We start from the raw sequence: 12,928 nt of genomic DNA, 5'->3' as shown, positions 1-12,928 counted from the left end.
GGTTGAAATTTCAGCAGAGTCACAAGGCAATGTTTAGACTTCAGGACCCATGAAAGACTGGGGCCCCAAGGAACACATCATGCTTTCCACAGAAAACTCTAAAGGATCAGAAAGCTCAAAGGAGATAGAGTTTGCCAGGCTGCAGCCCCACTTGACTCAGCAGAGTACCTGGCTGGATTAAGGAGAGGAGTTACTACTGTCTCATCCTAGCACAAGGAAGGGTAAACCCTCTGTGTGGGAAAATAGCATCAGCTGGAGCCTCCACGATGCATTTTATTCACCGTGTTTAGTATTCGATCAAAAATCACATGTCATGACCAAAGGCAGGACCACACGACCAAAAACCAAGAGAAAATACAGATCTTAGAAGCAGCTACAGAGATGATCCAGATAACAGATTTTGCAAGCAACAACTTTCAAATAACCTTGTTTCAAGAACCATAGCTCAGGAAAATAGAGGAACAGATGAAGAAATTCACCAGAGGGAATTTTAGAATTCTATGAAGAAAAAAAAACTAAAAGGAAGAACACAGATTAGACAAAGAAGAAGACAGACTTGGTAAACTGGAAAACAGTTTAATAGAACATAAGCAAACTGAAGCAACAGGAAAAAAATAATAAAAAATATAGAAAAATATGTTAGAGACAAATGGGACATAGTTAAAAGGTTAACAACCAGTAATCAGTATCTCTGGAGAAGAGGTAAGGAATGAAAAAGGCAGCAATATTTGAAAAGATAGCTTCCAAAACCCTTTCAATCAGAAGCATGATAAAGACAAAGGCACACCTAGGTACATCATATGAAGACTTCCAAAACCAGAGATAAAATCTTAGATGCAGTCAGAGACTCTGTGTCTTCCAAGAATCAACAATAAGACTGACAGCCAACTTCTCAACAGAAATTAAGGAAGTGCAGAGGCAATGGAATAATATCTTTTTTTTTTTTTTGAGACGGAGTCTCACTCTGTTGCCCAGACTGGAGTGCAGTGGCGTGATCTCGGCTCACTGAAAGCTCTGCCTCCCGGGTTCATGCGATTCTCCTGCCTCAGCCTCCCAAGTAGCTGGGACTACAGGCACCCGCCACCGCGCCCGGCTAATTTTTGTATTTTTAGTAGAGACGGGGTTTCATCGTGTTAGCCAGGATGTTCTCGATCTCCTGACCTCGTGATCCACCCGCTTCGGCCTCCCAAAGTGCTGAGATTACAGGCATGAGCCACTGCACCTGGCTTGAAATAATATCTTTAAAGTGCTGAAAGATGGTATCTGCCAACCTAGAATTACATGCCTAGTGAAAATCATCTTAAAAATGAAGGTGAAATAAAGACATGTTCAGACAAGTAAAAACTGAGAGACTTTGTTGTCTGAAAATCTGTACCAAAAAAAAATATGGAAGAGAGTTCTTAGGGCAAAAGGAAAATGACCCCAGAGGAAAACATGAAATTGCAGAATGGAATAGGAAGCAAATAGAAAGTAAATCTGTGGACAAATATGAAGGAATATTTACTGAATATTAGCTGTACAAAGTAATGATAGGAATGGATTGTGGGGTTTAAAGTATACATAGAATTAATAATGCAAGACCACAAAAACACAAAAGTCATAGCGGTTAAGATTCTGGCATTATCCAGGAGTAGCAGAGGCAACATTTCAAGTACCTGTTTTAATCGCTAAGGTAACTACTAAAAGACTAGCAAAAGTTAATAAAGGGAAATAATGGAATAATATTTTTTTATTGATTTAAAAAAAAAGGCTGGCCAGGTGTAGTGGCTCACGCCTATAATCCCAGGACTTTGGGAGGCCGAGGTGGGCAGATCACCTGAGGTCAGGAGTTTGAGACCAGACTGGCCAGCATGGTGAAACACTGTCTCTACTAAAAATACAAAAATTAGCTGGGCGTGGTGGTGGGTGCCTGTAATCCCAGCTACTTGGGAGGCTGAGGCAGGAGAATCGCTTGAACCCTGGAGGCGGAGGTTGCAACAAGCCCAGGTCATGCCACTGCACTCCAGCCTAGGTGAAAAGAGTCTCAAAAAAAAAAAAAAAAAAAATTAAAAGGCAAGATATGAAAGAAGGAAGATATAAAAGAGATGGCTCAAATAGAAAGAAAGCATGGTAGATATAAATGCAAGTATTTCAGTAATTACATTAAATGCAAATAGACTACTCCAATTTAATGACTACAATTATTGGAGACTAGGTTAAAAAAAAAATCTGTCCGTATGCTGATTACAATAGACATGCCTGACAGAATTATAGGACAGAAAATTTGAAAGATAAAAATATGGAATTAAAGATTATTCAAACAGTAACCAAAAGAACTAGTCTAATATTAGTTAAAGCTATAAAGCAAGGAGCATCATCAGAGACAAAGAGGGACATTTTCTGCAGATAAAGTGGTCAATCCACCAGAAAAATACTTGAATCCTAAGTCTGTATTTATTCAATAAAAAATCAAGAGAAAATGTGGCACATACACACCATGCAATATTATGAAGCCATAAAAAAGGATGAGTTCATGTCCTTTGCAGGGACGTGGATGAAGCTGGAAACCATCATTCTCAGCAAACTAACACAAGAACAGAAAACCAAACACAGCATGTTCTCACTCATAGGTGGGAGGTGAACAATGAGAATGCATGGACACAGGGAGGGGAACATCACACACCGAGGCCTGTCGGGGGGTGAGGGTTAGGGGAGGGATAACATTAGGAGAAATACCTAATGTAGATGATGGGTTGATGGGTGCAGCAAACCACCATGGCACGTGTATACCTACATAACAAAACTGCATGTTCTGCACTGTACCCCAGAATTTAAAGTATAATAATAAAGAACTAAAATAAAGCCATACCTTCTAAAAAAAAAAAGTCAAAAGAACTAAAAGGAGAGGTAGACAAATCTACAATCAGAGTGGGGACATTAACACCCCTCTTCAAATGCCCAGAGTCACCCTGACTCCCCTCATATGGAAACTCTAGCTTCTGGAAAATCTAAGCAGAAAGCTAACCAGCCCTCACATGGAGAACATCTTCTTTATAGGAAATCCTTGCTGTGAGCAAACTGCAGATGGGGTCATCACTGGAAAACCCCTGGGCGTGCTCTCATCAAGAGGCTATCAGTGAATCCTTCCAGGGGTATCCTATCCTCTTTATGGAATAGAGTAGCTTTCCCTTGTATTAATTCATGTGCCTCCATGCTTCCCTGGGGTCACTCAGGTCAAGACACGCACAGTTCCCTGTTAAGCGGAGAGAGGACAGGGGTTGTGACTTCTGCAGCCAAGACAAGAGTAACCACCCAAATCTGAATCTTTCCAAACATCCTCTAAAAATCACACAGATCAGCAAGAACAAAATCACACAAATTCCACGCTTTCAGCATGTCTGCATGACAGAGAATAATATAAATGTTAAATGATCTGCAAATAGGAAAACAAACACCAGTTTCAAACAGAAGTATTTCTTGAGCTCTCATCGTAAGCCTCTGTGGAAAGCTGGGAGCAAAGGGAAGGGGTGGAAAAGCCACCCAGAAAACAGAAGAGGAGACTGAGCTAAAAGAACCCCCAGAAAGAGCAAGGCCACAGTAAGTGTGGAAATACTGGGAAAAGAGCCCTGACTCCCGGAAAAGCTCTTAGAAGGACACACGAGAGTGAGGAGCTGATCTCAGAAAGGCAACCCTTTTGGGGGAGGACGAGGAGGCACCCTTTGGAAATGGCATCGTGATGAGAAGGATGAGGAGAGAAATTTAGACTCTCTGAAGACACAAACATGTGGATGAGCACACACGTCCTTCTCCGTGCTCACCCCAAAGACTTTTTGCTATGCTAACAAAAGACAATGCTCTTGAAATCTTGTAAACAACTCCAACTTGCCAACCCTGTTCATTAAGTGCAAATATGTAAGAAGTCTTCTTCTATAAAAAAACTACTATTAAAAGCAAACAGAGGCCGGGAGCGGTGGCTCACGCCTGTAATCCCAGCACTTTGGGAGGCCGAGGCGAGCGGATTACGAGGTCAGGAGATCGAGAACATCCTGGCTAACACAGTGAAACCCTGTGTCTACTAAAAATACAAAAACATTAGCTGGGTGTGGTGGCGGGCGCCTGTAGTCCCAGCTACTCGGGAGGCTGAGGCAGGAGAATGGCGTGAACCCGGGAGGCAGAGCTTGCGGTGAGCCAAGATGGTGCCACTGCACTCCAGCCTGGGCAACAGAGCGAGACTCTATCTCAAAGAAAAAAAAAAAGCAAACAGAATACGGAATCAAAACATTTCAAGTGACTAAAAATTACCACCCCCAGTATCAACACAAAGCAGAAGAAAACAGTAGCATAACATAAATTAAATATTCTTAAGCATTTGAGTATATAAAAATCACCTTGTGATGTAAAATTTAAAACTAAGGATATAGATGGACCAAAAAATGGGAAGAAACAAGGTACAAGTTGATGGAACTGAAACAAGAGGCAGGGAGCAGTGGCTCACACCTGTAATTCCAGCACTTTGTGAGGCCAATGCAGGTGGATTGCTTGAGCCCAGGAGTTCAAAACCAGCCTGGGCAACATGGCAAAACCCTGTCTCTACAAAAAAAATTACAAAAATTAGCTGGGTGTTGTGGTGTGTGCCTTTAGTCCTAGCTACTTGGGAGGCTAAGGTGGGAGGATTGCTTGAGCCCAGGAGGTAGAGGTTGCAGTGAGTCAAGATGGCACCACCTCACTCCAGCCTGGGTGACAGAGTGAGACCTTGTCTAAAATAAATAAATGTCAATAAATAAATAAGGGAAGAAAGAAGGAAAGAAAGAGAAGAATATGACAAAAATCACACCAATGATGAAGACTAAATTAAAAGGTACCCAAAGGAGAACAGATTTGAATGAAAATTCAGGGATACCACTGAAGAAGAGCAGAAAATCAACCATGGCAATGAAAATGAGATGATGTAAAAAAGAAAGAGTGTCAAAGATAAAGTGGTTGAAACAGAAGACAGGAGAAGAGACACTGTGTATAACTGAAGTCATGGAAAAGAAAAATGTAATGCAAGAGAACTCTCAGAGATAGAAGACCTGAATCAGTCTATGCAAGGATCCACCAGGTACCTGGGGCAATCCATTTGGAACAAGTGATTCCGAGGCATAGCTCAGTGAGACTATTAGACATTACATATAAAGCAAGAAATCCTCAAAGATGAAGAAAAAAAAAATGCTTGGGTCCTCCAGACAAAAATATCAGGCAACTTTAAAAGGACAAAATATATATAAATTTTAGCCTAGCATCAAGGAATAAACAAAGCAAGGCAACTGAATTCCATTTGCAGGAATGGAGAAGTCATCCCTACAAGACCAGCTGTTCCACAAATAACCAACATAATCACTGGACAAATTGTTTTTAAAACATCTGGAGGAATTGGAGAGCATGGAAAAGCATGAAATGGAGGGTGCTGCACATGGGTGAAGGGAATGGTGGTGGGTGAACTTCCCATGTTCATGCCCCTTGCATCAGGGCAGGGCCCAGCTGGCACCACACAGGTGGCAACCATTCTAATAGGAAACTCACAAGCATACCGGCTCGAACAAGCAAAGGACAGAATTTGTGGAGATCACAGCAGCTGGACAGTTGGAGGAAAAATCCAGAAAAAGATAAAAACAGACAGAGCCCACAGTTCTGCATATAAACTCTGCCCAAATCCTTGTCTAACACCTGAAGTATGCACGTATCTGCTCAGCTAAGTGAATTGCCCATTAAAACAGACACCAAGAAATCAGTACACATCAGAGAAACATGACAGAACCCAGTCTTTGTTACAGGACCCAGGGTCTATACCATGTGTCAGTAACAACGTTTGGAATACAATAAAAGATCACTAGACATTCAAAGAAACCTACAATGTGACCCCCAGTTTGTATCGACTTTCCCTCCTGACAACCACCTACCCTGAAGAGTCTGTGACCCAGCATGGGATGTGAAGACACTGGCCTTCCAGGCATTTAACTAATGCCTGCATTGTAGACGATCACCTCCCTGTACTAAGGCTTCTAACCTCTGTCTTCTAGTGATTCTGCATCTCCAAACCTGATAGAGGCAGCAGAATAGATCACAAACACATGAGAATCAATACCCTCCGTGTACATCAACAATAACCAGGTGGAAGATCTAATGGTCGAAAACCTCCATTACAAAAGCACCAAATAAGATAAAAACATTTAGGGATAAATGTATCAAGAATGTGGGGAAAAACTATTTACGGAAAACATTAAAATACTCCTGAGAGACACATACAAGTAGACTGACAAATGAGAAGGCATCTCCTGTTCCTGGCCAAGGCCACTCAATGGCCGAAGGCATCGGTTCTCCTGAAGTTAATTCCTACTGCTAAGGCAACCCCGCCCAATACCAATGAGCTTTTTACAATGATGCTAAGTTGATATGAAAACCTATATGAAAAATAAACACGTTAGCACAGTGGGGGCTGGTGGGGGGGTGGAGGAGGAGGTCCAGCTTTACCAGGCATTAAAACACACTAAAAAGCTTCTTGAGAGAAAAAAGTGTGGGACCGACACACAACAAAACAGAACGGTGGAAAAGAACACCCAGAAATAGACCTGAGGACCTCTGAATAATTTGTAGATGGTCAAAGTGACGTTCACGTCTCTAGGACAAAGATGATCTTTTTAACAAACGGTGCTGGGACAACTGGTTAGCCGTTTAGTAAAAGATGGAATTAGATTCATATCTCATACTATACATAAAAAATAAACTCCAAATGGATTAGAGATCTATATGTAAAAAATTAAACCATACAAATACTAGAAGGAAATGTCAGAAAAGCTTTTTAAACTTCAGCATCCAAATGCAACACAAGAGAAGATGGGTACATTTGATGGTATAAAAACAGAACCACTTTTCAACATCCAAATGCAACACTAGAGAAGATGGATGCATTTGACGATATAAAAACAGAACAACTTTTCCATGGTTAAAAAACACCGCAAAGAAATCCAAAGGACAAATGACAAATTAGGAGAAATATTTATAACATACATCAAATATAGGGGAAATAGTTCTAATACAGAAAGCATTATTAAAAACTGAGGGAAGAAATGACCAAAGACCCAATAGGAAAATGAACAAAAGACATGAAGAGATAATTTACCAAAAATGTTTATAAATGGGCCTTAAACACATGAACAAATGGCTCAATATCACTCAAAACAGAAATGTCAATCAGAGCTACATTGCAGTCTCATTTTTCACCTCTCAGATTGCAACAATGTAGCAGCGTCACTGAGAACATGTTCCCATGAGAAGGCTCTGGAGAAGTGGGCCTTTCCTTACTTTGCTGGTGGGAATACAAATTGGTAAAACCATCTTGGAGGAAGAGTTTACTTTTGCATCAGTAATCTCATGACTAGAATTTACTCTGAAGATACTCTTACAATAGTATGAAGATGCATTAAAAAAAACAGATGCACAGGTTTATTCATTGCAACATTGCATGTAATTGCAAAATATTAGAAACAATTGGAATGCCCACAGACAGGAGAGAGGTTGAATGAACTGTGGTACGCCCAAACAGTGGAGTACTATGCAGCTGTAAAAAAGAATAAGGAAGTCCTCTATGAACTCATATGGAGTCATTTCCACGATATGTTATTAAGTGAAAAAAAACGTAAAAGACTATCTCTAACATGCCATCTTCTGGGTAAAAGAAAGGGGAAATAAAACAATGCTTATTTTTTGTAAAAAGAAAGACAGGGGCCTGGTGCGGTGGCTCACACCTGTAATCCCAGCACTTTGGGAGGCCGAGGTGGGAGGATCACGAGGTCAGGAGATGGAGACCATCCTGGCTAACACAGTGAAACCCCGTCTCTACTAAAAATACACAAAAATTAGCTGGGTGTGGTGGCGGGTACCTGTAGTCCCAGCTACTCGGGAGGCTGAGACAGGAGAATGGCATGAACCCGGGAGGCTGAGCTTGCAGTGAGTCAAGGTCGCGCCACTGCACTCCAGCCTGGGCAACAGAGCAAGACTCCATCTCAAAAAAAAAAAAGAAAAGAAAAGAAACACCGGAAGAACAACCCAGAGACTGATGAGACGGTGTATGTCACAGGAGGTGAGGGACAGTGTTGGGGAGATGGACTAGGAAGCGACATTTCTCCGAATAGATGTGTGTGTGTAGGGTTTTGTTTTGTGGAACCAGGTTAAGTTTACATACTTGAAAGGAAAAAAAGAGGGGGCAGGTGACTCTAAATGGATTGCAGATAGAAACAAAAGAAGCTCGCTGTATTTCAGGCAAAGAATATGTGGGGTGAACAGATGTGTTTTCCACAGTGGGGTGGGTTAGCAATGCTGAAACTATTTTCTGTTTATTCTAGGACTGAGCAAATAAGCAAATACCCTGAGAATGGTAGAGGGCAGACCTGGCCCTGCTGGGGAAGGAGTCGCAGGTATTCCAGGTTGGAACTGGAGGCATCGTGGGAGCTCGTGGCTCATGTATGTTAGAGAGTGTGTGTGTGTGTGTGTGTGTGTGTGTGTGTGTGTGTGCATTTACTATGGAGAGATTATAGATGCAGATATATGTGTGTGTCTTTTCTTGTCCTGTCTTGTCTTATCTGTACGTGCTTCCTTCCCTCCTCCCTTCTTCCCTCCCTCCCTCCATCTCTTCTTCCTTCTTCTCTCTCCCTCCCACTTCTCCTCCCTCCCTCCCTGCCTCCCTTTCTCTCCCTCCCTCTCTCCTTCCCTCCTTCCTTCCCTCCTTCCTTCTTCCCTCTCTCTCTCTCCCTCCCTCCCACCTCTCCTCCCTCCCTTTCTCTCCCTCCCTCCCTCCTTTCCTCCCCTTACACTCCCTCACTGAAGCCACTGAAACACCCTGGACACCGAGGCACTCCAGTAGTAATGAGCACACTAGCACCCACGTCTTGGTTTCTGGATACCTTTTGCCATGAACAGAAGGCTTCATGGGAAAAGTTCCAGATTGTGGCACGTGACAGGGAAAGCGCCAAATTGCAGCACGTGACAGGGAAAGCGCAGATGAGCTTGGGATATCTCTTCCTGCTGCAAAGGAAATAGGTACTTAAAGGATGATGGGGACACAGGAATTGGCTTGAAGGGGCTCCCACTGACCAAACCCGGGACAATGTGGGCATCAAACACATAATGATGGCAATGGATTATAACCCATTAAATCTTTAAAAAGCCACGAGTCCACACTAATATAAATGAATACACAGATAAATGGGGAGAAAGGAAATCTCTTCAGTCATCATGAAATTTAACAAAGTACAGGACATTTATATATTCCCAAGGCAGCTCACAAAATACTTATTAAGTCTGGCAGGCTAAATCATGGCCGCCAAAGACACATCCACCCCCGACACCCTCGAGCCTGTCACCGCGTCTTCATATGGAAAGGGGACTTTGCAGATGGGATCGAGATGTGGAGGTGATGTGGCTTATCCAGGGCGCCCCAGCTGCTATCAGGTGCATCCTTATAAGAGGGCCAGAGGGAGATTTCAGACAGGAGAGGAGGTACTGTAACCATTAAGGTGGAGACGGGAGCGATGCGGCCACAAGCCGAGGAAGCCAGCAGCCCCAGAAGCTGGAAGGGCCGGGGAGACTCTCCCAGGTGCAGGGCGGCCCCGTCGACACCTTGGTTATGTCTAGGGGAGGCTGATTTTGAATTTCTGGCCTCAGAATGGAGAGAATAAGTTTTAAGCTCCCGGTTTGTGGTTCGTTGTTGGAGCAGCCACAGGCACCCAGAGCCGCCAGTCCCTTTACAGGGGGGACAGCTGGCGGCTCCACTGCACCCAGGTGGTCAGAGTTACCCTCTCAGCCAGGGAACGAGGAGGCGCAGCCTCACCTCCCCGCCGTTCCCGCGGCCTCACCTCCCCGCCGTTCCCGCGGCCTCGCCTCCCCGCCGTTCCCGCGGCCTCGCCTCCCCGCCGTTCCCGCGGCCTCTCCTCCCTTCCGTTCCCGCGGCCTCACCTCCCTTCCGTTCCCACAGAGATACCAAGTGGGATCTCTCACCAGGAAGCGCCCGCCAGACCCAGGCAGAGGGGCAACATACAAACTGGTCTGTTCCCTCCAAAGCCATCGAGGTTTAAAAAGAAAGAAAGACGCAGGGTTCCAGGGAACCAGAGTCGAGTCGTGACAAACCAGCACCACTCTGGCTGCTGGGCTGGACCAGAAACAAGTGTAGGGTTTTGTTTGTTTGTTTGTTTTTTGTCATAAAGAACACGATTGTGGTAATCGGCAGCCTTTGAACAAGGTCCGTGGATCTGGTAACAGGATTGCGATCATGGAGGTTTTCCCATTTCCGAAATTGAGCTGCGGTTATGAAAGGGCCTCTGCTTGCTCTTAGGAAGTACACCTGAGGTATCTGCGGTGAAAATAAATCCATGCAACGAATGGAAGTCCCAAGGGAGGCGCCCAGACCCACAGCCTCCTGCACTCAGTTCGGGTCTCCAGTCTGTCCAGCCAGTGGGCCCTGAGCCCAGGCCAAGACCCAGGATGGGCCCCAGGAGAGGGGCCGGGACCACGCAAGTGAATTCCTGGCCCTTCTGCCTCTGGCGCTGCTGTTGAAGAAAAACAAGTCCTATCCCGGCTGGACTCCTGGGTGCCGTCTCCGGGCACAGCTCAGCTTTTCCTAAAGCCTCTGCCCAGCATGGAGTGAGAGATCATGGAAAACACGGGGGGTCAGCACAGCTCCCCCCTCCCTCACCAGGAACGGCGTCTCTCCCTGGGGGCTGCAGGCCTGGGCACCCCTGTGCCACCCGGGGTGGGGGCTCAGGGTCCTTCTTCAGGCCTGTCATGGGCTGGGCCCCCCCCCCGCCCCGAAACCCTCCACTGCTCCCCAGTTCTCCACACCCTCTCGGAACATTTCCCAGGCTGGCCTCATTGCCGACTTTCTTTGGTTTTCAGAATTTCTTTCCAGATCTGTGTTAAAGCCATCATTTTTTCTGGCCTGTGCGAGTCCTCACACACATCACTCACCCCCCATGACTGCTCAGAAAACCCAGCTTCCTCCCCATAGAAAACGTCTGAAATGATCGCGCATCTCTGACACCTTGTCACTACACCAGGGACAGTGAGGCACGGGGTTTGGGAGCCGGTTCCGCATCCGTGCCTTGTACTGTGCTGCTGTTACTGCCGGACGAGCCCCAGGCCCTCTCTTTGCTTGTGTGCGTTTTTATAGAGAATTCTAGCATCACCCCAAGACTGTTCATTCCACTTTCAGGATTGCCACGCTGGAGCTCAGCCCCTTAAGCTGAATGTTCAGGAAAAAACTATGAGGTTGATGTTAGGCTCTTAATGATGTTTGAATACAGGATTAGAATCCTTAAAAATGCCTTCTCAAAACACAGCCCAAATGGGGAACTCTGCCTAGAACGGGGTTTCTGGGTACGGCCCTGCAAAGTGCTCCTGTACCCTTTAGGAGCCTCCTCGAAGCCCTGCTGTGCCTCAGGAGGCTCCTAAAAAACCCTTCGAGGAAGCCGGGACATAATCAGGTGGTTCTACGAAGCCGATGTTCTGCCGGGAAACATCTCCGTTGCGAATTGAGGTCATGTGTTCGGATATTATTTTCCTCATTCTCCATTTACTTTCCTAAAATAATCAGCTCCTGAGGATTCCTGTGGCAGAGGGCTTCCAGTAACATCTGCAGTGAAATATCGGGGTACAGGGAATGCAAGCTGCTGGTAGGGGCACCTCACAGAAGGAGGCCTGGAACACAATGGCGATGGACGCAGGCTCTGCTCCCTCGGCGCTGCCCCTTAACGCGAGCACTGATTTTTACATTATAAATCCTGCAGCTGGCGCACACTTGGGTTTCTATGGAAGGTCCCCAGCACTGTGCTCTCCGACTTCCTAGATGCCTGGAGGCCGGTCGCCAGCACCCAAACTGGAACTTTCAGAGCAATCACTCCCTTTTCCACGTCTGAAGGATCCAGGTCTCAAGAGTGACAGTGAAAAGCTGCAGACTTCTCGGCAGCAAATCCAGTGAACACCCCACTCCAGGACCCTTTAGATTCCAGAAGGCCAAGCAAAGTCATTTGAGACCACAGCGGAGACAGCTGTGACCATCCTGGAATGCCCTCCCACCCTGGCTGTGTGGGCGCCTTGTGCCTGATTTCCTCTTAACAGGGTCCTCCTGCGTTCTGGCCAAGGCGGCTCACAACCATTTTGAAAAGTATCTCTTCCTCCTGTCGGAGAAAATCCTTTAGAAGCTTGAAGTCAGACATCTTTTCTCTTCTCTACCTGCCTCCCTCTGCATGGTTTTCCACGAAGAGGGACGAGGAGGGCCTAGCGGTGCTGGCCAAGTGGCCTGAAAGAAGTGGGAAACAGAACGGCAGGGGCTTCCCAGAATCTCTCCTGGTCCACGGGTGTCACGATCCCACTCTGCCCAGTTCCCAGGATGCCCAGAAAAACAGAGACAAGGCCTGGGGCACCCTAGCAGCTCTATGTGGCTTATGGGGCATCTCCAGCTGCTCTATGAGGTTACGGGGCACCTACGGCTGCTCTATGGGGTTACGGGGCGCCTCCCGCTGCTCTATGGGGTTACGGGGCACCTCCTGCTGCTCTATGGGGTTATGGGGCAGCTCCGGCTGCTCTATGGGGTTATGAGACACCTCTGGCCACTCTGTGGGGTTCATGGGGCACCTCCAGCTGCTCTCTGGGGCTTATGAGGGACTTCTTTAAGATTCTATTTCAAAACCCACACTTGCTATGGATTGAGTTGTGTCCGAGTCCTACCCCCGACCTGTGTGAGTGTCGCTTGGTTGGAAATGGGCTCTTTGCAGATGTAATTAGTCAAGATGAGGTCGTGCTGGAGTAGGGTGGGCCCTAAATCCAATGACCATTGTCTTTATAAAGCGAGAGACACAGAGATACACACACACACAGGGAGAGACACAGAGCAGAGGCCATGTGAGGATGAGGTGGGACT

This window comes from Homo sapiens, chromosome 16 (assembly GCF_000001405.40).
Source record: "Homo sapiens chromosome 16, GRCh38.p14 Primary Assembly".
Classification (NCBI taxonomy): domain Eukaryota; kingdom Metazoa; phylum Chordata; class Mammalia; order Primates; family Hominidae; genus Homo; species Homo sapiens.
The sequence above is the reverse complement of the archived record's forward strand: the minus strand, read 5'-3'. Positions refer to the sequence as shown.